Raw genomic sequence first — 27,822 nt, 5'->3', positions numbered from 1 at the left:
TTTACTCCAAGCTGATACATTTCCTTTAAAAACTTCATGGGTTGGCTGGGTGCGGTGGCTGATGCCTGTAATCCCAGCACTTTGGGAGGCCGAGGCGGGTGGATCACCTGAGATCAGGAGTTCGAGACCAGCCTGACCAACATGGAGAAACCCCATCTCTACTAAAAATACAAAAATTAGCCGGGCATGGTGGTGCACACCTGTAATCCCAGCTACTTGGGAGCCTGAGGCAGGAGAATCCCTTGAACCCAGGAGGCGGAGGTTGTGGTGAGCCGAGATCACGCCATTGCACTCCAGCCTGGGCAACAAGAGCAAAACTCTGTCCCCCAAAAAAAAAAAAAAAACTTCATGGGTTTCTTATGAATCATTTTATAATCCATTATAATAGCAAAAGGCACACATACAAATCACTTCAAGATAAGCCCCTTGGCCAGGTGCAGTAGCTCATACCTGTAATGCAAGCACTTTGGGAGGCTGAGGTGGGAGGATTGCTTGCACTCAGGAGTTCGATACCAGCCTGGGCGACATAGTGAGACCCCGCCCCCATCTCTACAAAAAAAAAATTAATCAGGCATGGTAGTGCATACCTGTAGTCCCAGCTCCTCTGGAGGCTGAGGTGGGAGGATCGCTTGAGCCTGGGAGGTCAAGGCTGCAGTGAGCCATGATGGAGCCACTACACTCCAGCCTGGGGGCCAGACTTTGTTTCAAAGAAAAAAAAAAAAAGGAAGAGATAAGCCCCTCTCCACTTCGATTTGGATTTCTTGGGAGATTGCTATGGGACAAAGGTTTTTAAGATTCTTAGGAGCCTTACTGTCTTCAGAGAGGATTTACAGGACCCACTCATAAGATTCTTAGGAGGCCTTTTGTCTGTCTGTCTGTTCTATGAGGCAACACTTTAAGTAATTTAAAAAAAAAATTTTTTTTTTTGAGACAGGGTCTCACTCTGTCACCCAGGCTGGAGTGCAGTGGTGTGATCTCGGCTCACTGCAGCCTCTGCCAACCAGGTTCAAGTGATTCTCCTGCCTCAGCCTCCCAAGTAGCTGGGATTACAGGCATAAGCCACTACATCTGGCTAATTTTTGCATTTTTAGTAGAGACGGGGTTTTGCCATGTTGACCAGGCTGGTCTCAAACTCCTGACCTCAGGTGATCCACCCGCCTCAGCCTCCCAAAGTGCTGGAATTATAGGCATGAGCCACCGTACCTGGCCAGTTTTTGGGGGCTTAACAAAGGGTTTTTCAGTCTCACTTTAGATTTTTTTTAAACAGATTTATTGAGGGACAATTAAAGTACAATAAATTATATAATTTAAAGTATACAGTTTGAGTTTTCACACACACACTCACACACACACACATACTCAATAAAACCATCACCACAATCTGGAAGCCATTTCTCTTCTTTTCTTTTTCTGAGATGGAGTTTCGCTCTTGTTGCCCAGGCTGGAGCGCAATGGCGCGATCTCATCTCACTGCAACCTCCGCCTCCCGGGTTCAAGTGATTCTCCTGCCTCAGCCTCCCAAGTAGCTGGGATTACAGCCATGCACCACCATGCCTGGCTAATTTTGTATTTTTAGTAGAGACAGGGTTTCTCCATGTTGGTCAGGCTGGTCTCAAACTCCTGACCTCAGGTGATCCGCCCATCTCAGCCTCCCAAAGTGCTGGGATTACAGGCGTGAGCCACCGTGCCCAGCCACCACAATCTGGAAGCCATTTCTTAATTTGAGAATGTTTTCCTGCCTAGAGGTACTGGAAGTGAAAACCAGCAAGCCCTTTCTCATTTGTGATTCCTTTAAATTTTAACAACGAAACAGCTCCTTCTTAGTTTACCTCTTTTCTCTTTTTTACTGTAGGCAGCTAGAGCAAGTCAGATGGCACCTTCAGCACTTTGCCTGCAAATCTCCTTAGGTAGTTCATCAGATTTATTAGCTGTATTTCCTATTATCTATGTTACCACAGCTGACAAGCTTTTCAACACTATAAGGGTTCCTTCTTTTCTAGCTTCTAATAGCATTTCCTTACTCTCCTTTATGCCCCTACTGACAGCCCAAAAGTCACTGTTTTAAGATTTTGTTTCAGTAGCACCTCTCTTGCAGGCGCCAAAATATATTCCAGACATCTACTGCCAACCACCCACCTCAAAAAAAAAATTTAATGGCATAAAACAACATGTTCTTATGCTCCCAGACTCCATGGATTAGGAATTCAGACAGAGCACTGCAGGGATGGCTTGCCCCTGCTCCATGATGTCTGCCTTGGCTAAAAAGACTTCAAGGCTGGCTGGGCGCAGTGGCTCACGCTTGTAATCCCAGCACTTTGGGAGGCTGAGGCATAAGGATCACTTGAGCCCAGGAGTTCAAGACCAGGCTGGGCAACATAGCAAGACCCTGTCTCTACAAAAACTAGTAATAATAATAAAATTAGCCCAGTGTGCTGGAATGCACCTGTGCTCCCAGCTACTCACGAGGCTGAGGCGGGAGGCTCGCTTGAGCCCAAGAATTCCAGGCTTCAGTGAGCTGAGATCTTGCCACTGCACTGCAGCCTGGCAACAGAGTGAGACACTGTCTCTCAAAAAGAAAAAAGTAAAAGACTTCAAGGCTTGTGGTGGGGCTCAGTAGCTAGGGGCTGGTATCACCTGGAGATGTCTTAACCCCACGTCTGGGGGATTCTAGCTGTTGCTGGGGCTTTACCTGGGACTGGCAGCCAGAACACCTACATGTACCCTTTCCACGTGGCCTGGGCTTGCTCCTAGCATGGTAGACAGGAATTAGGAGCTGCTGATTTTTTTAGGCCTGGGCCTGAAAAGTAGCACCACATCACTTGTATTGTATGCTATCAATCAAGCAGTAACAGAGCCCAGATTTAAGAGGAGGGGTTATTTTGACTGGAGGCATGTCAAAGAATTTGGGGACCACGTTTTAAAACTACCACAAGTGCCATTGGCATGGTTTCCTGGAATCGGATTTGCCTCCCTCTTGGCTTTGTCTAATGCCTGGCTCTGCTTTATACAGCAGCCCAGTCTTTACTGGACTAGGGCACTGGGGATGTTCCTGTCAGGGATCAGTAACCTCAGAGGGGGCTTCTGCAGTGTCAGTATTCTCTCTGTGTTCACTTGCCACTGCTCCTTAGAGAGTTCATCATTCCCTCCCGGAGAAGAGCTCAGCGGTCCACTTGGTGCTTCCTTAGAAATCAGCTTGGGGGCAGACAGGTGTGGCTTCCATAGATTCTTAGATGTGCTTTCTGGAATTGAAAAGGCAACTCAATTTATGCTGTGACTCTCACTACCTTTCACGTAACTCTGACAAGCTGTAGGGACCTGGAAAATCTCTATAGATGGTGGCCTAGATATAGCCCCAGTTGGGGGCTGAGGCTGCCCTGGACCCTGTTGAGGGCTCACAACTGTTTGAGATGCTTGCTTTGGGAGCAAGAAAGCCAAGTTGTGAGTATCACCCTGTCCTTTGGCTTTTTCTCAGGACTTTTCTGGAATGGGATGTCTATGTCTTGTTACTGGGCAAGTTTCTGCTCTAGGCTGGGGAACAAACTCTTGGACTTGCTGACTGAGGCACTCTTCCTCCTTTTTCTCCTCCACGCTCAAGAGTATGGCTTTAGGGTAGCGCAGTGAGAATGCCATCCCCAGAATTGGGGCAGTCACTGAGTGGCAGGAGGATGGTGATGCCACCAAGCCAACAGGGCCCTTAGTAGAGAAGCCCGAGAATGCTGAATGGCCGGCCACCTTCCAGGCAGTTTCATTTGAAGCAGGCTAGACATTGCTTAGTAGGGATGGAAGCATTTTGGACACTGAGCCCTGTATAACCTTCACCTGCAGACAGGCTCACTTCATGGCACTCATAACACTCATGGCACTCATGGTACCTCTCAGGCTGTTTCCAGGACTACTAGGACTTTTTCCCAACTAGCTCCAGCTTAGTCCCTTCTTGTTACTAACACTTGTAGTAGCCCTATAACCAGAAAAAGCAGAGCAACTTGGAGCATGCCAAGTTCATCAAGGACTAAAGACAGCCTTCCCTCCAGAAAAGTTCCTCGGGGCACCTGACAATATATGAGGCATTCCTTAGCACAAATGCTTCTTGTGTTACTGAAGAGGGGCCTGTGTTACTGAAGAGGGGCCTGTGTCACTAGCCCAGGGATTGGGGCGTGTTCCTGTGAGACAGTGCCAGAGGGAATATTTATTATGCACTTTAACTCTCACTTTCTGTCTATGTGCATGCGCACACATACACATGATGCTTTTTCTTTTCTTGTTTCTTTTTTTTTTTTTTTTAATTTTTGAGACAGGATCTCACTTTGTTGCCCAGGCTAGAGTGCCATGGTGTAACCATGGCTCACTGTAGCCTTGACCTCCTGGGCTCAAGGATCCTCCTGCCTCAGCCTCTTGAGTAGCTGGGACCACGGGGGCATGCCATCACACCCAGCTAATTTTTAAATTTTTTTTTTGTAGAGATAGAGTTTTACCATGTTGCCTAGGCTGGTCTCCAACTCCTGGGCTCAAGTGATCTTCCCACCTTGGCCTCTCAAATTGTTGGAATTAGAGGCATGAGCCACCATGTCTGGCCCACAATACTTTTTCTTTAAATTTATTTCTCTTTCCATACCTTAGCTCATATTCTTTCCATCCTAATTATGTGTCTTACATATTTGTGTGTGTGTGTGCATTTATGGTGCTCTGTTTCTTTTAAATGTCCTTTGCATTCTCCCCTGCTTTCTTTTATCTGTTCATCTTACTTCATCTCTCCTTAAAATGTTGGTTTTGGCCAGTTGCATGCTGCAGTGTTGGCATCCATGCCTGTGTTGAGCAGCAGAACTGGCTGCCTGCTGACAAGGCCACGGCACAAGTGCCCAGTTCTACAGTGTCTGCCTCCCAGGGGCATACTCTGGGATTGTAGAATAACAGAGAGATGATAAGAGCAGTCTTGGGTGTCTGATGGCTGCTTTGTATTTACTTTTAAAAATTATTTATTTTACCTTTATGGAATGATTTATAGTGTTCAAACACTGTTAGAGATTTGCGTCATCTTAGCCACACAGCTGGTGTGTGAGGACACTCAGAGTAAGTGTTGTCTGTGTTTAAAGAACCTGAGGCACAGAGAACTTAGAGGGCTTGCCCATGAGCACACCCAGAAAGTGATGGGACCAGGACCCAGCCAGTGTGTAGCTTTCGTGCCTAGTGGGAGAGGGCTTCGGGGGCTGACGGCGATACTGGGCTGCACCGAGTGCTTCGTGTACCTTTCTCTGTTGTTCTTCAGCTCATACACCACAAAGAGAAAGGCGAGGAAGTCTGCAGACAATGTTGTGAGCAGGCATACAAGAGGCCTAGGTTTTTAACTATTTACATTTTCATTCATTTAGTCATTCAACACAAATAATAATTCCTTTTAAGTTCTAGGCACTTTGCAGGGGGCTATCAAGATTAACAAGATACTGTTACCACCTTCAGGTGGGCTCACTCATAGTCTAGTAAGGGAGAGGAAACAGTCTGGTGCAATGCAGTGTTATACATGCCATCACAGATGTCTCCCCAGTGGAGGCCTCTGCATAGGCCATCTCTACCTGAAAGGGGGTAGGGTGTGAAAGAGCTAAGAGTTGGATGTGCCTAAGGGTGGGATACAGGATTGATAAGGAGGGAAAACAATGTGGGATAATGAAGGGGAAAGTAGGCAGGGACCAGCTCATGGGGTCCTCATCAACAATGCCAGTGAATTTGCATTTTATTCTGTAGATATGAGGAGTTTCAAGCATGATCAGTTTTTCATTTTGGGAAAATGTCAGAAGATGAGAGGATGGATCAAAACTGCTTTAACACTGAAGGCAGAAAGAGGAGTTAAGAGACCAAAGAAGTAGCAGTAGCAGCAGGGATGGGGAGGAGGGGGACACATCTGAGAGATGTTAGGAAGTAGAATTGATAGGACATAGTCATCAAGTAGATCAATGTGTTTGGGGAGAGGGCTGGATCCAGATGCTTGAAGCAGGAGGGGAACAAACTCTGACCTTTTCTCCCCCCTCTGGAATGAGTTTCTCTAGAGCGTTAAGTGTAGCTAGAGAAGTCCAAGCGCTGGGACGTTCCAGTGTTTTGAGGTCTGGACGAGGAAGAAGAACTAGCCAAGGAAACCGACTGAGAAGAGCATTTAGTGAGAAAAGAAGAAAACCATGAAGAGTGATGTCCTGAGACGCTCAAGAAACAGGGAGTGATCAACTGAAGCGTAAAGCAGCATAGGGACGAGACTGTGAGAGCAGACGTCCAGTGCAGGCACATGGGAAAGTGGGTGCTAGTATAAGGCCAGCCCTTTTAGACGGGCGTTGGGTCCCCACCTCTTCGTTGCCTACTCAAGCGTGTTATTCCTGCATTTGTGCCCTCTGTATCTGCACTGACAACCTTTCCCTCTCTACTGGATCATTCCAATTACAGTCACAAGGTTGGCATGGTGGTTCATGCCTGCAATCCCAGCACTTTGGGAGGCCAAGGCAGGAGGATCACTGGAGGCCAGGACTTCAAGACCTATCTGGGCAACATAGTGAGACCCCCATCTGTGAAAAAAAAAAAAAAATTAGCTGGACCTGGTGGCATGAACCTGTAGTCCCAGCTATTCATGAGGCTAAGGTGGGAAGATGGCTTGAGCCCAGGATTTTTGGGTTACAGTGAGCTATGTACTCCAGCCTGAGCGACAGAGCAAGACCCTGTGAGAGAGAGGAAGGAGAGGAAGAAGAGGAAGGAGAGGAAGAGAAGAAAGAATGAAAGAAAGAAAAGAAAGGAGGGAGGGAGGAAGGAAGGAGAGAGAGAGAAAGAGAAAGAAAGAAAAAGAGAGAGAAAGATGCTTCCATTATGCCATATTCTTCTCCAGCTACCATCCCATTTCTTTGTTCCTTTTTTAGGAAAACTCTAAAAGAGTTGTCTGTACTCTGTCTCCACTGCTTCTCCTCCCTTTTCTTGAATTTTTCCAGTCGTGCTTCCCTTCCTACCTCTCTACCAAAACCTCTCTTCGTCAGGTCACAGTGACCTCCATGTTTCAAATCATTTCTCAGTCCTTCTCTTACTTAGTTGTTGGCAGGTTTGACTCAGTTGATCACTCCCTGTTTCTTAAGTGTCTCAGGACATTGCTCTTCATGTTTTCTTCTTTTCTCACTAAATCCTCTTCTCAATCGGTCTCCTTGGCTAGTTCTTCTTCCTTGTCCAGACCCCAACACACTGGAACGTCCCAGCACTTGGACTTCTCTAGCTACACTTACGCTCTAGAGGATCTTATTTGGCCACATGGTTTTAAATATTTCTATATACCACTAATGACTCCCATATTGAAATTTATAACCCAGACTCTATTCTACCAGTGCTCAGGCCAAATATCCTGATGCTGTCCTAGACTTCCCGTTTGTGTCTCACTGCTCATCTAACCCATCAGCAAATTGCATTGGCCCAGCCCTCAAAGTAGATCCGTCTCTACCAGTACCCTTCTGATCCGAGTCATCATAATAATCGTTTGTCTGGATTGCTGCAGTGGCATTCTAAATAGTCTCCTTGTTGCCACCTTTGTACCCCTGCCTGTCATCCTCTGATGTGAAGTCAGATTCTGTCACTGTCCTGCTCACATCCACTCAAGAGCTTCCTTCTCTTGAGAGTGTAAGCCCAAGTCTTATCAGTGGCCCATGGGGCCTTCCATAATGTGGCTTCTGGTGTCTCTCAGGCTCATCTCCAGCCCACACTTCATTGTTTCCCTCCACTCTGGCCACACTGGCCTCCTTGTTGCCCCTGGAATACAGTAGGCATGCGGTTATCTTTGCCCTACTGCACTTTCTGTCTGGAACATTCCTCCCCTGGATAGACACATTGCTCACTTCCTTTGGGTTGTGTTCATGTGTCCCCTGGCAAGAGGGGCTTCCCTGACCTCCCTATGTAAAACAGCAACTCATCTCTACTGCTCATCTCTGATCCCTTTCCCCTTCTTTATTCTTCTTTATTGGCCCCCAAACCGTCTCACAGAGTTGATATGTTACCTGCTCACTCTAAACAAATAAGGCAACTTGATGTGTGTCTACCAGAATGTAACCTATAGAAAAAGAGACTTTGTCTGTTTTTAGTCTCTGCTGATCCTTTTTTTTTTCTTTTGAGACAAGGTCTCACTCTGGTCTCACTCTGTTGCCCAGGCTGGAGTGCAGTGGTATGATTGTGGCTTGCTGCAGCCTTGACCTCCCAGGCTCTAGCAGTCCTCCCACCTCAGCCTAAAATAGTGCCTGGAATAGACTTGGTGCTCAATATATCTGGTTGAATGGATGGAGAGCCAAAATGTATCTCCGGCCTGGTGGGGTTGCACACTGTGGTCTTGGTGATAGGTGGCTTCCTTCGTTCAGATGCAGAGAAGGCTAGCAAGGAGCTGGCCTAGGAACCATGAAGAAGTGAAGCTAGAGACTGTCAGTGGCTTTGCTCCCATGGTGGCATCCGAAGGCAGGCCCTGCCCTTCTCTTGGCCGTGGTCTCCTCTTGTCCAACAGGGGAGAATGATCTTACTTTCCCTCCGAGTCTCAGTTTGAGGAACTAGGAAACAACTAGACAGAGAGGAACTGAAGCCCAGGAATGAGCACTCTCTCCCATCCATGCCAGGGGATGACACCTGCTGTGCAAACTCTTTGTCACGAGGATCTAGACATCCTGACACCTGGCTCCCATTGTGTCCCTCCTGAAGCCTCCCTAGTGTTCCCTCTCTAGGTGAGACTCTCCTGACCCTCCTTCAGCCTGGGAGCAAAGACTGGTGGAAGCTGATTCTTAGGGTGGCTGAACTAGCTCCACTTCCAGGGGGTGCCCCCATAAGAGCATCAGAGCCTGTAGTAGTGAGAGAGAGATCCAATCCAGACATCATGGAAGCTAAGCTGGCCTGTGGGGAAGTGGGGAAGGAAGGCCAGGGCAGTGGCTCTGCATTGGGATGGGATGGGCCAATGATACGCAGGCGTGGCCTTTCCCACCTGCATCTTTTTACTGCTGCCGTGGAGCAAATCACCCCAAAACTTAGTGGCTTAACACAGTTGATTGTTTCTCACATTTCTGTGGGTTTTCTGGTGGTTCTCTGCTGGTTTCCCCTGGGCGCACTCATGTAGCTGTGTCCGGCTGGGTCTGGGTCCAAGGTGGCCTCATTCATGAGTCAGGCAGTTGTAGGCTGGCTATTGACAGAGGTGCCTCGGTCACATTCCATGGGACCTCTCGTCCTCTAAAAGACTAGACTGGCTTCCTTATGTGACGGTGTCAGGGCAGCATTCCAGGTGGGTAAAGGGAGAAACTACAAGGCCTCTTGAGGCCTCAAGTTTAGAATTTGAACAATTTCAATTTCCACTGCCACATTGTATTATACTCAAAGCAAATCACCGAGATCAACCAAGATTCGAGTGACGGAGCAATAGACTCCACCTTTCCATAGCCTGAGCTGCTGAGAATTCATGGTCATATTTGATTTACTCCCCGCCCTCCCGCCCCCCTGCCCCGACAGCGTTCAGGATCCATTGACAGTGGCAAACTGACCAAATTTCCCAGGTGATTACTCTGAAGAGCCAGCCCCTTGTGAATATGAGTAATTATCAAGCTAAGATGGAACACTGTGTGTTAGGCCCCAAGCTCAATGCGCGACAGGTACTATTTCTCACAGGGATTCTCTGAGATATGTGATCTTTCTTTTTTTTTTTTTTTTTTTTGAGACTCTTGTTTTCACTCTTGCTGCCCAGGCCGGAGTGCAATGGCGTGATCTCGGCTCACTGCAACCTCCGCCTCCTGGGTTCAAGTGATTCTCCTGCCTCAGCCTCCCGAGTCACTGCAATTACAGTTGCCTGCCACCACGCCCAGCTAATTTTTGTTATTTTTAGTAGAGACTGGGTTTCGCCATGTTGGCCAGGCTGGTCTTGAACTCCTGACCTCAGGTCATCCATCTGTCTCAGCCTCCCAAAGTGCCGGGATTACAGGCGTGAGCCACTGCACCTGGCCGAGATACGTGATCTTCCAACACCCATTTTAGAGTTAAGGAAACTGAGGCTTAGGGAGAGAAGATTACTTGCTCAAAGTCATGAAGCTTATAAGTGGCTACACTGAAACTTGAACCCCAAGGCTGTGATGTTCTTACCCTCTCTTGAGACTGACTGGCTAGCCATAACCTGATAAAAAAAAAAAACAGTACTAATGATAATGAGCATTTTGCATCCATGGTCTCATTGGCTCAATATGACAACCCTGCGATGTAAAATGGAACAGTTTTGAAGAAATGAAACTGGATGTTCAGAGTGTGAGTCCATTGCTAATAAGAGGTAGAATCAGAAACATGCAGACAGATAACAGAGAATTCTACCCTCAAGTGAGAATGTCACCCCAGGAGGGCAGGGCCTTATCTTTATTGTTTACCAGACCTTGGAATGAGTGACTGGTGCCTTCTCTGTGATATGGGGCTTCAGGTCAGCACAGGCAGGTTCCTCTGTGGTACAGTGCACTGGGCCTGGCCTGTGTGGGGAGGCTGGGGCAAGGGTAGCACGTGAAGCCGTGGGTCCCAGGTCAGCAGTGACACCAAAGACAGGACCTTCAGAGGAAAGGGCCAGTCTACTCTCTATTTTATGCTGCATGAGAGGGGAGAAATGAAACCTCAGTTGAAGCAGGGTAGGCATTGAGAGAAAGTTCTTAACCTGTGAGGATTTATTCGTGCTGGAGCCACTAAGGGAAGTTATAGAATCACTCTTTCTGAAAGCATGCTGGGATCAGATGGACCAGAGGACCTGAATCATTTTCCTATCCCAAGGAGCCATGCCCCACACTACCATAAGTAACAGTGGTTCCATGGACTGGTGAATTCTCTCCTGGGCCGCTGGGGAGACACAGCCCTAGGGAACCACATATCAAAGTGCCTGAGCAGGTGAGGCATGTATAGTTTAAAAAGGCTTCCCAAGAGATTGTGAGTCTCATTAGGTGCCTGCCATCTCCCAGTAGAATATAAGCTTCACGAGGACATGAATTTATGTCTGTGTTGTTTATTCTTGTATCTAGCACCTAGAACAGGCCTAGCACAGAGTAGGTGCTCACTAAGTATTTGTCGAATGAATAAACAAATGAAATTGTCCTCTGTCAAATGCATCTTCAGTTGAGAACTAAAACAGAGTCCTTTGTGTAGCACAGACACTCATTCACTTAGGGGCTAGACTGATGACCTTTTGTATTTATGGTTCTATAAAATAAGAGAGACCTAAGGCCTCCATGAACTGTGAGGAAGTTGGGATCTCCCCCCGCCTCAAGCCTGGCGACTTGCCCTGCCGCTCCCTACCCCAGGGAGTGCGGAGGCTTACTCTGTTCACACCTCCTCACTGAGCAGAGCCTCTTTGGTCATTGGCTTGGCTTGGCACTGAATTTCTCTCATCTGTGCCCATATACACATGGGATGGCTCTTGTTTGACTTGCCCTTTGAAAAACAACTTAAGCATGTTGAGGTTTCCTGTTGATTGGGGGCAGCCAGAGGCCTGTGACCCAGCAGGGAATTGTCAGCCAATCCCTGACTCACCCAAACTCCAGTTTTCTGTGTGTGAGCGAGCAGTGACAGCAGCCTGGCTCAGGGGCAGCTGGCTGCCTTCCTGTGGATAGCATGGCATTCCGGAGCCTGAGAGGCTGGGCAGCCCAGAGCTGAGGGCCACGGCCTTAGGGTCAGGTAGGCCTTGTGCTGTGCAGTGTTGGCAAATCCTGCTGTTTTTGAACTGAAACTGTTTGGAAAGAATTCTGAAAGTTGACAGTGGTTACTCTAGTAGACAAGTAGAAAAGTGTGCCCAAGAGGAAGTATGCTCATGGTGCTCTTCAATAAGCTCACCTTTCCCTTCCTTTTGCTCTTCATCATTCACCGAGCACCTTCCAGACACTATTTGTTTGTCCCTGGGCCTAGAAGAAACCATGGTCTAGTAGGGAAGACCAAGAAGTCCCTTGATACTTACAAGTGCTGTGGCAGGGGTGTGCTGAGTGCTGTGGGGATTTCTCTTGAGTTGCCTCAGGGCCCTGGCAGTTCAGAAAGTGGCAGAGGCACTGCTTCCTCTTCAGAGAGTCAGCCCAGTGTAGTGGAAGTTCACGTCCTGGTTTCACTTACCAGCTGAGTGACCTCGGATGAGATATTAAACCTTTCTGTGCCTTAGTGTTTTTTATTTGTAAAATGAAGATAATAAACATGATAACCTCATAGACTTTTCAGGAAGATTAAATGAGTTAACATATGTAAAAACATTTATTCAGAAGTGTTCCTTGTAGTTGCCAAGATCTGCATATGGATTTGGAGCTGGGACATGGTAGATGCCAATTATTGGATGTGATGCCACTGCTGGAGGGTGGAGCTGCCTAAGGAGTTGGCCTCCCCACCCCATTGGCTTCCTCAATGATAGAGTGGAAAAGACTCTTTCCTGAGGGGCGCTTCTGACCTGTCTGAGGCCCTCAGGGATTCTAATTCTGGTCAGAACCCAACATGAAGAAGTGAGATGTTATGTCTAGTAGCAGAAGTCCCAGGGGAGACAGAGGCTTGTTAAAGGGAAAGATCAAAGGGTCTGAGTGTATTTGGGGGCCACTTCAGGGAGTAGTGTTCAAGAACCACCTTGCACCAGTTCACAAGAGCTGATTAGTGGCATCTCTTCTCAACTCCACAGCCAGTGACGTCACATTGGTAGCTCAGCCATAGTTGGAATATTTATACTACCAAAGTTGGCAAGTGCTACCAATCTGCTGTTGCCCCTAGAGAGCCGGTTGTTCAGACTTGTTTGGTTTTGGGGTTTTTGGTCCCTTTTTCCCTCTTTTTACCATACACAGAGTCTCACTATGTTGCCCAGGCTGGTCTTGAACTGCTGGGCTCAAGCGATCCTCTTGCCTCTGCCTCTCTAAGTGCTGGGATTACAGGCATGAGCCACCACACCTTCTGAGAACTGGTTGTTAAGCATGTGGCAGCACACCACTGGGCTTTCTGTCCTCTTACTGGCAGATGTTAGACTCTTGGGATGCTCTCGCTTGGCACAGAACAGGTGTCTGTTTCAGACATTACTCAGGGTGCCTGGGGATGGTTTGGGCAGAGAGGCCTGTTGAGTTTGGCCTGCTGTGATTAAGGAGCTATTGCTCTCCTTGAAGACAGCCTTCAAGGTATATTACTTGAATAGAATACTCTTTGAGAGTCCTCCAGGAAAAAGATGCTGAGTTCTGTAAGAATAAAACAGGATGCCACTGGTTGGTCAGCCACTCACTGCCATTTTCTTTTCTTTTCCTTTGTTTTGTTTTGCCCCCAGGTCTCAGTCAGTCTCTCCACCTCCAGTTCTCTCCCCACCAAGGAGTCCCATCTACCCGCTCAGTGATAGTGAAACCTCAGCCTGCAGGTACCCCAGCCACTCCAGCTCCCGGGTGCTCCTCAAGGACCGGCACCCCCCAGCTCCTTCACCCCAGAATCCTCAAGATCCCTCCCCAGATACTTCCCCACCCACCTGTCCCTTCAAGACCGCCAGCTTCGGTTATTTGGACAGAAGCCCTTCGGCGTGCAAGAGAGACGCCCAAAAGGAAAGTGTCCAAGGCGCAGCCCAGGATGTAGCAGGGGTCGCTGCCTGCCTCCCCCTTGCCCAGAGCACGCCATTCCCGGGGCCAGCAGCTGGCCCCCGGGGCGTCTTGCTGACCCGTACCGGTACCCGCGCCCACAGCCTGGGCATCCGGGAGAAGATATCAGCATGGGAAGGTCGCCGAGAGGCGTCGCCCAGGATGAGCATGTGTGGAGAGAAGCGGGAGGGCTCTGGGAGCGAGTGGGCGGCCAGTGAGGGCTGCCCCAGCCTGGGCTGTCCCAGCGTGGTGCCGTCCCCCTGCAGCTCTGAAAAGACCTTTGATTTCAAGGGCCTCCGGAGGATGAGCAGGACCTTCTCCGAGTGTTCCTACCCAGAGACTGAGGAGGAGGGAGAGGCGCTCCCTGTCCGGGACTCTTTCTACCGGCTGGAGAAACGGCTGGGCCGGAGTGAGCCCAGCGCCTTCCTCAGGGGGCATGGCAGCAGGAAGGAGAGCTCAGCAGTGCTGAGCCGGATCCAGAAAATTGAACAGGTCCTGAAGGAGCAGCCGGGCCGGGGGCTCCCCCAGCTCCCCAGCAGCTGCTACAGCGTGGACCGGGGGAAAAGGAAGACTGGAACCTTGGGCTCCTTGGAGGAGCCGGCAGGGGGCGCGAGTGTGAGCGCTGGCAGCCGGGCAGTCGGAGTGGCTGGTGTTGCGGGGGAGGCGGGCCCACCCCCAGAGAGGGAAGGCAGTGGTTCCACTAAGCCCGGGACCCCTGGAAATAGCCCTAGCTCCCAGCGGCTGCCATCGAAGAGTTCCCTCGATCCCGCTGTGAACCCTGTCCCCAAACCCAAGCGCACCTTTGAATACGAGGCTGACAAGAACCCCAAGAGTAAGCCCAGTAATGGTCTACCTCCTTCACCCACACCTGCTGCTCCACCTCCCTTGCCCTCCACCCCAGCCCCGCCAGTCACCCGGAGACCCAAGAAGGACATGCGTGGTCACCGCAAGTCCCAGAGCAGGTAATGCATGCCCCTCCGGTGTGTTGTAGCTGAATACCGTGGCTTTCTTTTAAATGGACAGTGCAAACACAGATTGTAGGATGGGTCGCAGTCATTAGTGCTTCGTAAGCTCTGAAGTGCTGAATAATTGTTAGGTGGTAGTTGTGGTAGTGAAAAATGAGATTGTTCTGCTCTTACAAGATACTTGGACATGAGTGGGAATGCTTACAGGATACTTGGGACCTGAGTGCTGGTCACTGAAGGTATTGGCTGGGTTTGGCCTTTGGGGTAGAGCTGGGCTGTGTCCTGCCCCTGTTGTAGCTTCCTCAGTCTTCTGTTGGGAGTAGGTAAAGCAGGCAGTCCTTTGCGGAGTAGTAGGATCTTAGCCTCCCTACCACCTGAAGTACCAGCATTAGAAATTAATTTCTTTGAATGAAGCATTATCTGAATACTGCATTTTATCATTAACATGGTAGTGTCGGCAAATTTAACACAATTCCTTCTCTCCTGAAGGCCTCCTGGCCATATACGAACCCTGGGCCTATATCAAGAGGGGATTATTGGGAAGATTGATGAAAAAAGGAGTAAAACAGGAATGAGCCTGTTCCGAGGCTCACGTTGGTTTCCTGGTCAGTCTCAGGATTTCTAACCCCAGATTACCAAGGGCTGTCTCCCCGGTAACTTGGAGCTGGAGCTATTGGAATTGGTGAAAGCTGGCAGGCGTCTTGTTCTCTGAATCAGGGTAGGCTGGGAGTGAGCTTCCTTGGGAATACTTATCCTCCTACACCTTACTGCCATTCTCATCTAACCCCACGACTGATGGGTATTCAGGTTTGTTTCACTTCTGGGGATTCTTTAGTTTGTCCCCACACTTCAGGCTTCATCTAACATATCCCATCTCATATATAAACTTTCCTGCCATGTGCAGAAAGGAAGAAATTTCAAAGATTCAGACCCCCGAGCCGGAACAGCCCGTGGCTAAGGGTAATCCCGTGTTTGAGTCCACCCCAGAATGCTCACTGGCTCTTTAATTCTTAAACGGCCTGCCAAGAGTGTTTGCTTTGTCCTTGTTCATCCATTTCTATAAACATTCTTCTAGAGCCTGCTGTGCACCAAGATTGTGCTGGTCAAGAGGATGCAGAGGCAAATAGGACATGGTTCTTCCATTCAAGGACTTCGTGGTCTGGTGCACAGATAAATCATAGATAATGTCATACGTGCCATGACTCATGGCAGTGCAGGAGGCCGCAGAGACCCAGAGAAGGGGCATCTGAGTTAGATGGGGGAGAGAAGGGAGGCTCCTCATAGAGGGAGTTGCTGAGCTAAATTTAGAAGAGCCAAAAGCAGTTGGCTAGGTGACCAAAGGGAGTGGGGGGGAGAGTTCATCAGCCTGAAGGTTTTACACATATTCCACCCCACACTGCATTTATATATAATATATACACACGTATACCATATATGGAGGAGTCCCTTCATGTAAGAATTAACTTAGCAAACTTAAATCTGTGCTCTTGGAAAAAGAGAAACAGTTCCAGAAGTGCAGTCTGTTCTGTATGCCATTTCACACAGTGAACATGTTCCATGAGGAGTAGAGATGGTAAGTTTGTGTCTGTTATACCAAGTGTGATTCTTATATTTAATATACTTTTTTATTTTAAAAAAAATGCAGTCCAGGTGAGGTGGCTTACACCTGTAATTCCAGCACTTTGGGAGGCTAAAGTGGGAGGATCATTTAAGACCAGGAGTTCGAGACAGCCTGGGCAACATAATGAGACCTCATCTCTACAAAAAATTTAAAAAATTAGCTGGAGTGTTGGCATGTGCCTGCAGTCTCAGCTACTTGGGAGGCTGAGGAGGGAGGATAGCTTGAGCCCAGGAGGTTGAGGGTACAGCGAGTATGATCACACCACTGCACTCTAGCCTGGGCAACAGCACAAGACCTTGTCTCTCAAAAAAATTTGCGTGTGTGTGTGTGTGTGTGTGTGTGTGTGTGTGTGTGTGTGTGTTTGTGTAAAATGCAAGCCAAGCCAAATGTTTCTTCTGGCATTCAGCCAAAAAAAAAAAAAAAAACCTGGGGAGAAACTATTAGTTTTAATGAGAGACAGCATGTTGGTCCTCAGTGTGACACCTTCCTGGGGGATTTTCAAGGATAATTTGACTGAACATGATTTGTGTCTTATTTACTGACTTGAGGGCTACCTGCATACGATGCTGAGTCTACTGTATATGCCAAAGAAAACTTGCTCTCACACTAACTCTGGTCCTGGGCCAACATTTGCGAACCACTGTGCTCAGCCATTGGATGTTTAACTAGTTGAGAATCTCTGGGCCAAAGACAGAAATCTGGGAGTCATCAAGATAGAGATGGTAGATATGGCAATGGCCCATGGATATTTGGTCCCTAGAAAGTGCAGAGTGAGAAAGAGTTTTTAAGACAGAACTCTGAGAGACCCGGACACTTAAAAGGCAAATGGAAAAGGAGAACCCCTCACAAGAGTCTGAAAAGTAGTGGCCAGAGAGTTAGTTGAAAGCCAGGAGGGAATGTGTCACAGAGGCACACGGAGGAGATGTCAATATAAAGAGTGTTCGGTTGTGTTGAGTGCTTGGGGCGGGGCAGGGGCAGGCAAGCTAAGAACAAGCTGTAGCCTTCAGGACACTTTTAGCCCTTTACCTACACCCTAGGACTCTCAGGAGAAGCTGTTAGTAAACAAGAGAAAAAGGGCTTTATTGGCTGAAAGGTCTGATGGTGCCCCAAAGAAGAGGGAGGTGTTCATGGGTGGGAGGAGGGATCCAGTCAGTGCCTTTCCTTCTTTCCCTCCCCAGGAGCCTGCGGGGACTTGCCTTGGAGAGGGAGAGGGTACAGTTGGGGTCTCAGATGAGGGACGTACCTCTCTCATGAAGGAGAGGGGCAGAGAGTGCTGTAGGCTCAGGGTGTCTTAGGAGACAACAAGCTGTGGTCTTGAAATTATACAGTAGAGAGGAAGGTTGTCCAAAGGATGGAAAGGAGCAAGCTAGCTGAAGGGAAGCCTGGTCTTGGAAGCAGCTTCTGGCTGCAAATTGTCCTCCCAGCTCCACCTTGGCAGTGGTCTTATTTGTTTTAAGGGCTCAGCCCTTCCTGCTTCAACAAACCACCCAGCAACAACTGCTTTTCCAACCCCCTGACAGCCCTGAGTGGGACCCTCCCAGTGTTGAGCCTTCCTACCTGCTTAGTGCAGTGGCAGGAGTCCCCAGCTAGGATGCAGATGAGGATGTGAGACTCCAGAGGCAGACCAGGCACTCAATTCCAGTGGAATCACAGACACTTCTCAAGGAGGATATTCTCTAGGGCTCAAGGCCAAAATTATAGTTAAGAGCTCAGGCCCTGGAGTGAGACGTCGCCTGGGAGAATCATGCCTCTGTCACTTCCATCTCCTCTTTCACAAGATGTCCCAATACTGGTGGCACTGTTGTGAAGATTAATGAGATAACACATGTAAAGGTGGATTTGACGCAGCACCTGGAACAGCATGCTTTTAAGCTGGGGTAGTTGTTATCTAATAGCGGTATTATTCAGGATAAGGCACATTGCAGGCACCCAGGCTGGGGCCTTTCAGACCATCTGTCTCTTCATTTGGATGGTAAGTTTGGACCCACCTTGATGCTCTTTCAGAAGCTGCCTTTGTAAGGAGGGCCTATGGTCTTTGCTGTTGCCATGGACATTCCCCAGCAAGGCAGCAGAGATCTGATTCAGCAGGAATGACTCTTGCTCTTGTTATCCACAGAAAATCCTTTGAGTTTGAGGATGCATCCAGTCTCCAGTCCCTGTACCCCTCTTCTCCCACTGAGAATGGTACTGAGAACCAACCCAAGTTTGGATCCAAAAGCACTTTAGAAGAAAATGCCTATGAAGATATTGTGGGTAAGCAATGGCAGAGGTGGCACCTGGGTCATCTCAGGGGGCTGCAGAAGAACAGGAACAGGAGGAGACACCTAGATTGACCTCCTTCACTGTGGGCAGGCATGGTCCCACCTTCTGGAACTCCTCCTGGAATGGGACATCAGGGGAAGCACCTTAGCTTAGACAGAGTGGCTTTGTGATTAAAAGCCTGGCTCTTGAATGAACTGAAATCCAAAGGACCTTTGGGGACACGAGAAGGAGAAAACAACATCATTCCTTTCCTTTATTTTTGGAAGGCTTTGAAGTCCAACAGGCCCTCTTCCTTAGCTGTGTGCCCTTAAGGCAAATCACTTAACTTTTGTGAAGACTCTGTTTTTCTCTTATAACATGATGATGTGACTATATTAACAACAACAATAATAGTAATAATATTTCGAGCCGGGCATGGTGGCTCGTGCCTGTAATTCCAGCACTTTGGGAGGCCGAGGCTGGTGGATCACCTAAGGTCAGGAGTTCGAGACCAGCCTCCATCTCTACTAAAAATACAAAAAATTAGCTGAGCATGGTGGCAGGCACCTGTAATCCCAGCTACTAGGGAGGCTGAGGCAGGAGAATTGCTTGAACCCGGGAGGCAGAGGTTGCAGTGAGCTGAGATCGTGCCATTGCACTCCTGCCTGGGCAACATGAGTGAAACTCCGTCTCAAAAAAAAAAAAAAAAGTAATATTTCATAAGGTTATTGTTAGAATTAAATAAGATTGAGTGTCTGGTGCAGGCCTGCTACCTGGTCAGAGATGGCCATCTTCTTTCTGTGTTCTTACATGGTGGAAGGGGCGGAGGGAGTTCTCTGGGGTCTCTTTTAAAAGGGCCCTAATTGGTGAAGGCCCTGCACTCATGACCTAATCACCTCCCAGAGGCCTCACCTGTGTTTCCACATAGGAATTTTGGGGGACAGAAACATTCAGTCTATTGTACAAGCTAACACATTTCATTGCCCCAGTTTCATGGTGCTGGCAGAAGACACGAGACCCCTGGGTCGCAAAGGACTTTATTACTTATGGCACAGTAGGCAGCATGAGCTTCGTGTTCACACGGGTTTCCCCTTGTGCCTAAGTCCCATGGGGCGGTGTGGAGAAGGCCCAGGTGGAAGCTGCACACACTGCAGGTCCATGTCCCAGCTGGGGAGCCCAAGCGTAGGAAACCCCAGTCTTTTCAGAGACTGCTGGCAAACCTGCCTAACCTTTGTCCTTGGAGGAGACATTATCTTTATCACTCTGGTCAGGAAACAAATCTGCCTCTGCCCTGAAGGGAGACACTATCTCTGTCTTCCAAGGCTGTTTGCTGTATAAATACCCTTTAAAATACAGTCTGGAACTGTCAGTTCCTCTTGTTCAGAAGAAGGGCAGAAATGCGAGACTCCATTGGGATTTGTCTTCCAACAGGTGGGAAGACATGGTATTGGCAAACTTGTGTTCACAGATCAGATGAAAGATAGAATGCTCTAGCCTGGGTTGCATTTGTTTTGTTTTTTGGCGTTCATTTCAATTCTATTAGCATCCTCATCAGTAAGGGGCTTTGATTCTGCCCAAGTGAAGTGTGCGTGTCAGTGTAGGTCAGTGAGGAGGAGAGAGGCTGTGTGCTGCCTGCTTGCTGGCTCCCTCTCTATGTCCCTGTCTTGCCTCTGTCTTGGGCCTTGAATCTGAAGAATGTGGTGTTAGTTAATACATGAGAGAGAGAAGTGGCCCAGGGTAGAGGGAAACCTCCAGATTATCAGAAGCCTGGAATCTTTTTTTTTTTTTTGAGACGGAGTCTCGCTCTGTCACCCAGGCTGGAGTGCAGTGGTGCGATCTCGGCTCACTGCAAGCTCCGCATCCCGGGTTCATGCCATTCTTCTGCCTCAGCCTTCCCAGCAGCTGGGACTACAGGTGCCCGCCACCACACCTGGCTAATTTTTTTGTATTTTTAGTAGAGACAGGGTTTCACCGTGTTAGCCAGGATGGTCTCGATCTCCTGGCTTCATGATCCGCCTGCCTCGGTCTCCCAAAGTTCTGGGATTATAGGCGTGAGCCAGAAGCCTGGAATCTTATGAAGAGAGGGCCATCTGTTCCCTCATTTGATCTGAGCCATTGGTTTCACAGCCGTTTCCTTACCACTTGCTGGGCCATTGTTTCTGGGGAGACAGCAGCCATGCTGGGATGTGCAGGGACACTGCTTTCCCAGGAACAGAGCGTATAGTATGTAGCCATGCAAAACTGGGTCACAGCAGGAAGACTGTGGGAATGAGGTCCCTAGAACCGCAAAAGAGTTTGGGGAGGGAGGCCCTTTCCCTTACCACTGGGGAAAAGACAGCTTTGTACCTATAGGCCACCCAGAGCAGAGGTCAAGAGCTAGGGGCATCAGAACAAAAGATCCAGAAGCCAGGTGGGCAGTTAAGGAAGATGCCCCAACTGCAGCCCATACCCCAGTTCTACTCAGCCACCCAAGAGGCAGCCAGTGCTGTTCCTGTATTTCTCACCTCCTTATGCAAGACTAACATCCCAGAGTGGAAGAAAGTCCTCCCGAATGAGTGAGTAGGCAGAGGCCTAGACACACTTGCCCTCCTCTTTCCCTTCTCTCAAACCTGACCTAAGAAGGCCTGGGGAACAGCTGTGTTGCCCAGAACAGTTCTTCCAAAATTCTGCCCCCCAAACATTGCCCCAAAAAATCCTGAACAGAGCCCTGGATGGTGGAACTCTGGACAGAGAGAAATGGTTGAAGCCGTCCCTTTCTCAAATTATTTCAGTTCAGATGATCCAAGAACGTATCCCCACAGGAAATCCTTGTCAGATAATAGAGAATGGGAGGACCACAGGATTGCCAGCACCCAGCATAGTCAAGGGACATCAGAAAAACACAGCCCTCTCTGCCCACGGCAGCAGCCACACTGGGTGCTCCCAGGGTCCTGGGCAGCAAACTGACACATTGCAGTTTCTGCCAAACTAGAATGTACCCTGCAACAGGAGGTAGGGAGGGGGTGGGGCAACAGAGCTGCCTCCCCACTCATTAGGGAGGACTCTCTTCCACTCTGGGTGTTGCATGAGGAGTTAAAAAAAATATGGGAGCACCTTGGCTGCCTCTTGGGTGGCTGAGTACAGCTAGGGGTCAGCGCTGTGTGGGCAGAAGGTAGAGGTAGCTGCTCACCTGGCTTCTGGATCTTTGGAGCACTTAGAGAACAGGGAAAGAAGAGAGGGGGAGGATGCAGGAGAAAGGGAGGGGAGCGACCCAGGCACCAGTTTGGGAATATACTGCATCGGATGTTTAGGTTTTGCTTTGGCCTCGTGGGGTGGTGGGGGTGGTTTCCGGAGTCTGCAGTTAGGACAGTGCCCTGTGCGTGTTTTCCCTTTTTATGTCCCCATAGCAGCCCAATCTGAATTTCTGGGACCTGACTAGGGAGGCCAGAGGGAAATACAGAGGAAAATACTCTCTTTCTGTTAGATTCTGGTGGGTTTCCTTTTCCTTCCCTGGGGACAGGCCCGAGAGTTTGGAGCTCCCCACAAGGCTTCAGGGGGTGTCTTATTGCTGAACTCAGAATGGCAGTTTCCCGTCTTGCTTAGGACTGATCAGTGGCTCGGACTTCCTGGGAGCCGTCTCTCTGGTCTTGGCCCAGCCTGTGCTCTGTGGGGTGAAGGATGACTCTGACCCCGCTGGATCAGGCTCCTGCAGGCATGCAGGAATGGAGCTGTTGGGAGGCAGAGAGCCTAGTGCTCATCTCCATCTTGGGTCCTGGTGATTGGACTGGAGTCCTGTCTGTCATAGGTGGAGGGCCAGTTGGCCCCAAGACAAACATGTCTGTCTGTGAACAGTGGACTCGAATGGGGGTTGTGGAGGGTTTGCTGGCCTCCTGCCTACACTAGGCATGATGCCTGAGGAGCTGGGGTGGGGTACTCCCAAACATACTGAGGTTTACCTTGCTAACTTGCAGAAAAGGAGTTCGGAAAGAAAGTTACTGCCTTGCTGCTTCCAGGGCTGCTATTTCCCGCCTGTCCCATCTCACATCTGCCCCTGGAAGATGCTGCTATTCTACCAGGCCTTATGTTTGCATTCTGAGCCTGACACTTAAAAATGCACCCAAGGAAGCAGCTTGTTAAGGAATTATGTGGAGTGGCCTCGGCGCCTGAGCTGCATTCCTGCAGATTCCCACTCCCATCAGCTAGCCTGGGCTGAGGGAGCGTTTCCAGGAACTTCAGTGGGATGCAAGCCGGGGACCGGGCCAGTCAGCCTGGACTGCAAAGTCTTTTGAGCCTCCACTCTCTCTGGTTGCTTCCCTTATTTGCCCCCAGGCTGGGAAACAGTAAGGAGCAGAGGGCACCCACTGGGATGGAGGTTGCAGTGGGAAACAAAACAGCCAAGAGGTGCAGCCCAGGGAAGGTGCCGGGGCTGTCGAGAAATGGTGTCAAGGCTTGGAGGGTGGGCAACAGCCAGCCCCTTAGAGGCCCCAGTCTGATCTGTTGCCAGGGAGTTGGGCTCTTATCCTGGCCCTTTCTGTCCTGTGTGAGAGAGGGAAAAAGGCTGAGAACCAGGAGAAACAGCTGGTTGGAACCGGACGGAGGTTGTTGGGGAGGGAAGCTGCAGACCCAGGACCCTAGTAATGGGTGTGGTCCAGGAAGCTTAGGACTGTGTTTGGAGAAATTCTCAGTGCCTGTGCGTATACACACACCCCTTTCCTAACTGGTTTTTCCAGTTAGGTTGGGGCTGGGGGAGTGCTGTATGTGTGGTTAAGACCAAAGGAGTTATGGGGAGGAGTGAAAGGTTGTGGAGAGGAGTGGGAGGTTGTAGGGAGGAGTGGGAGGTTGTGGGGAGGAGTGGGAGCAGGGCCCAGAGGGGCTGGATTCTTCCTTTAAGAGGATTTGTGTGACACCTTTGGGCTCTGATAATCCCCTTTTAGAAGAGTGCAAAGCAGAAATTCTCGGTGATGCCTTTTGTCCCTTATTTCATCATCCAAGCTGGGAAAGGTTGAGACCTCTGGCTTCTCCAGCTGGGCTTGCTGAGGGCCAGGCCTTCAGGGAAGAGGGTCCACCTCTTCGTCCCTCTCCAAGGGTCATGTGGACTGTCCCAAGAAAGCTGTGTGGGCAGGAATGCAGGTAGAAATTTGCAGTCTGCCAGGCTCCCTGTCTCCCATTCATGCCCCTGCTGAATCTCCCATTCAGCCTTAGCTCCTTTAGCTCTGTCCTCCCTAGGATGTTCTGCACACCATTTCCCAGCCTACCGTCTCCTCCAACTCTGAGCCATTCCTTTGATACTTATTTGCTCTCAGCTGGTTCAGTTTAGTGGTCCAGGACTCAGGGTCCACTTGTCTCTGTACATCTCCATCCCCTGGTCCCCTGTCCACCTGGAGAGATGACTGGGAGAATCTATTTGAGACAGCTCCTCCGGGGCAGTCAGGAATGGTCCAGGAAGCTGAGAGATGAGTTAGGGCAGTGAAGGGACCAAGCTGAGGCTGGGGAGGCAGCGTGTGGGCTGCAGCCAGCCGTCTATTTGCTGGAGAACTGATTAGTGGCTTTGTTACATTAGACAGGATGTTAAACATTGCTGGAGAAGAGAGGCTGGCACAAGGGGCTGGGGAGGAGCAGGCCTTCCTGAAATTGAGTTTCCAGAGACAGGACCTATCTTGAGAACCTGATGTTGCTGGCTGTTTTCCCCTGGGTTGTCAGTGATGTGCACCAGGCTTGTACATCTATTACTTCCCTGGGCCTCAGTATCCTATGTCTTTTTCTTGGAGCTTTGGATTTTGTATCAATATTCAAAGCTCTTACTGTAGGGAAAAGAAGGAAGGAAGGAGGGAGTGAGGTGAAGGAGGGAAGGATGGAAAAAAAAGAGGGCTAGTCTTGGGACTCATGTCACACTCAGAAGCCATTGGAAGTTTAGAAAGCTCTATCTAAAGCAGTGGTTCTCAGTTGGGGGACAACTTCACTCTTCCCTCCCTCCATTCCTGCCTCCCTCCCTCTCTCTCCCTCCTTCCCTCTGTCCGTCCCAGAGAGCATCTGGCAGTGTCTGGAGACATTTTTGGCTGTTATAGCTAAGGAGATGCTAATGTCTCCTGGTGGATAGAAGCCAAGGTTGCCACTAAACATCCTAAAAATGGACAGGACAGTCTACCACAACAAGAATTATTCAACCCCAAATGTCAGTGGCTTGGAGAAACCCCTGGGATTGGGACAAGGCTTCCTATAGGTTGGGGATGACAATAAAGGCCCTGGCTGATCATGCAGTCCAAGGCAGTTTCGATTTGTTGAGCTTGGCATAAATGTTCTCCCTGCCGTGATGTGGACAGTGATGCTCTGGTCCTGTTTTAGGGGATCAGAAGACTGTGTCCTGGCATTCTCCCTTCTTAGTTCCCCCACCTCCTCACTCCTGCAGGGCATATGTTGGGGAAGGATCAAGAAGTAGAGAATCCATCCCCAACACCTCCCTAAGTGCCCCACAGTGGGGTAGGCTGGAGAAAACATGCAGGGGGTGCCGGGTTTGCTATTTGGCTTCTTGCGACAGGGCTGCTGGGCCAGCTCCGCTTAGTCAGGGCTCTGGAATGGAGACAAGTCATTTTAATAGCATGACTGTGTTACAGGAAAAGGTCTGTTCCATTGCTGGGGACTCTGCTTGGAGTTGGGAATCACTTAATCCAGTCCCAAATCCCAGTGACCCATCTTTGACTCATAAGTTTACAGAGATTTATATTGCTCCCACTGCAGTCTATTTAGCTGTCACTGAAATCCCTCCTTCACACCCACACCCTAACTCTGTTAGAGCATTTCCTAAATTCGTTGTGGTTCTGCATAAGTAGATGCCACAATGTGGAGGGAGCTCCACTTTGGAAATGGAGGAATCTGCAAGCATATAGGGATTGGCTCTTCTCCCGTGTCCTCTCTAGGAAAGCTTCACTCTCAGCAGCCTTTGTTCCTCGTCCTCCAGCTCCTTCTTCTGCCTGCTTCCTGAGGAGTGGGGTCTGAGTTCCTCTGGGGCGTAAGGCACATTCAGACATCTGTAGAACAAGTGTGGGACTCAGTGGCACCCAGGCTCAATCCTGCTGCTGAGCAGAGGTGCTGGAGTGAGTCCTGCTCTGCAGCAGGAAAATAGGGAAAGGGGTGCAGAGAGGGCTGTGTTCTGAGTTCCCCAGGGACCTGTTCACCCCACGGATTCTGCCACCAGGATTGAGCTAGGACTGACCCGGCCCATGGTGTTACTCTATTTTAGAAAATGTGTGTGTTGGAGGGGTGGGGGCAGGAGATACAGCTTGTGGAAAGGAGTGCCACTCAACATCTTCAAGGGCAGGGATTCTGTTTTGGACTTTTCTGAGATTTTCTGGTAATGCCAATACAATGCCCGCTGCCAGAGATTTTAGAACTAGTCCTGAGAAGCAAGAACTCCCCTCACCCCCACCCTTTGGCCCAGACTCCTTCCAAGCCTTTCACACCTCCCCTGTGTCACAGCAGGAGAGTTTGTTCCAAAAGGGGAGTGTTGATGGTTCTCTTTTTGCTGAGATCAGCGGTAGAGGGAATAGACACTACAGTAGGAGAGTCATCGAACAGATCATTACTGAACACTTCCTCCTTGCTAATCACTGTTCCGTTCCGAGGTTGCCTCAGTGAACAACACAAAACCCTGCCCTAAAAGACTTGTTGAACGGCATCGTAGGTGAGAAGGGGGCCTGGCGAAGCCCTGCTCCCTACGGTTCTGTGAGTTCCTCCATGCCCACCCTCCAAAGTAGGTCCCCAGGGAGATCCCCTGAGAGTTGGGTGAAGGGACAGCCATGTGACCTGAAAACCCTTCCTACCTTGAACTGTGTTATCTCTGGGGTGTTTGCAGCAGAGGGAAGGGAGCCAAGGAAAGACTCTTGTTGCTGGCTTTGTCCTCTGGCTGGGCACAGGCAGGGGTGGCTGAGCCAGTCTTGTGCAATCCCTGAATTTATAAAGCAGAGGCCAGGCTGAGCTGGGCTGGGGGTGGGGGGTTGGGGGGGGTGGGGGGGTGGGTCTGCTTCTGGACTTGGAGCCAGGATCTGTTTGTAGCCTCCCCACTGCAGACGGGCAGCTGCATGACTCATGAGCTGAGGGGCCAGGCAGAAGCCATTCTCTTTGGTTCACAGGAATTCTGCTTGTTTATTTGTGTGTGTGTGAGTTCGTGTGTTTCCTTCTTCCCTTCTCCCCCTTCTCTAACTCTTCCTCCTCTGCAGGAGATCTGCCCAAGGAGAATCCATATGAGGATGTGGACTTAAAGAGCCGAAGAGCAGGACGAAAATCCCAGCAACTGTCTGAGAACTCCTTGGACTCTTTGCACAGGATGTGGAGTCCTCAGGACAGGAAGTACAACAGCCCGCCCACACAGGTAACTCAGCCCTGACATCGGCCTGTAGGGTTAGCGTGAGGGCCACAGTGGGGGCCTGCTCTTCCAAGACTTGGGCCCAGCTTCCACTCAGGCTTTTACCCTCACTAGTACTTGATAAAGGGTCTACGGCCATACCACCCTGAACGTGCCCGATCTCGTCTGATAAAGGAGGTCTCCTCAGCAAAGGACTGTGCACTCAAGGATGTCCACCATGTTGAAACCTCTGTGGACAATTGGCACCTGCTCTGAGGGGCATCCTGTCCTATCTTCTTTCCCTTCCTACACAAGCTCTGAGCTGCAAAACTCAGCCAGGAGCCCTTGCAGTCTCCTCTCTGATTATTTATCACCCTGTGGGAAACAGGAAGACAGGGCCCTAGTGGGAGTCTTGGCATTCTGCAACTCTGCCAGAAGTCATCTCAGTACTGGCATTAGGGGGCTAGGTGTAGGTCCCCAAACCACATTTGGAGAGCCAGACAGGTGTCTGTGACACCTGGAGCCAGTCCTGTGGGAGAGAGTAAGCATGAATCTTTAAGGAATGGATGGGGAGAAGGCAGAATGACAGGAAAGGTGAAAAGCCAAAGGAAGCTCTTGGACTTCAGCTCCTTCTGTCCTTGTCCAGGATGTCAGGAGGCAGGTGGAGAGGCTTCTCTGACCTCCCCAGGTAACTCTAATTCTCTTTGCAAATGGAAGGACCTGGATATTATATAGCATTGGCCAGATAATATAAAATGATAATATAAAAATGATTTCTTCTGCCTTTGGAATAAGGTGTTTGTTTTTATAAAAGATTTACCCCATAGCTGGGAGTGGTGGCTCACGCATGTAATCCTAGCACTTTGGGAGGCCAAGGTGGGCAGATCATCTGAGGTCAGGAGTTCAAGACCAGCCTGGCCAGTGAAACCTCATCTCTACTAAAAATACAAACATTAGCTGGGCATGATGGCGCACGCCTGTAGTCCCAGCTGCTTGGGAGGCTGAGGCAGGATAATTGCTTGAACTCGGAAGACGGAGGTTGCAGTAAGCCAAGATCGCTCCACTGCACTCCTACCTGGGCGACACAGCGAGACTCCGTCTCAAAAAAAAAAA

At 49.6% G+C, this 27,822-nt stretch overlaps 1 protein-coding gene and 1 long non-coding RNA gene across 25 annotated transcripts in view; one reads left to right on the top strand and one right to left on the bottom strand.

Moving 5' to 3' along the window:
- Positions 1–27,822, top strand: part of DENND2B (DENN domain containing 2B) — a 217,600-nt gene that overhangs the window by 166,475 nt on the left and 23,303 nt on the right. For 13 of the 24 annotated variants that reach the window (NR_164822.1, NR_164814.1, NR_164818.1 and 10 more), the window contains 3 exons: positions 13,268–14,527; positions 18,268–18,404; positions 26,585–26,736. Coding sequence is in view for 15 of the 24 variants with exons in the window: in NM_005418.4 (NP_005409.3) it covers positions 13,268–14,527; positions 18,268–18,404; positions 26,585–26,736 (1,549 nt within the window). In the remaining 9 variants the exon portion in view is untranslated. The remainder of the gene's footprint in view (positions 1–13,267; positions 14,528–18,267; positions 18,405–26,584; positions 26,737–27,822) is intronic. The other 11 variants (NR_164816.1, NR_164815.1, NR_164817.1 and 8 more) reach the window with 3 other exon arrangements.
- Positions 24,945–26,293, bottom strand: LOC107984308 (uncharacterized). The gene is made up of 2 exons (XR_001748118.2): positions 26,189–26,293; positions 24,945–25,396 (listed from the first exon to the last, which is right to left on the bottom strand). It is a non-coding gene; the product is annotated as an uncharacterized LOC107984308 (long non-coding RNA).

Source organism: Homo sapiens, chromosome 11 (assembly GCF_000001405.40).
Source record: "Homo sapiens chromosome 11, GRCh38.p14 Primary Assembly".
NCBI lineage: Eukaryota > Metazoa > Chordata > Mammalia > Primates > Hominidae > Homo > Homo sapiens.
The sequence above is the reverse complement of the archived record's forward strand: the minus strand, read 5'-3'. Positions and strand labels throughout refer to the sequence as shown.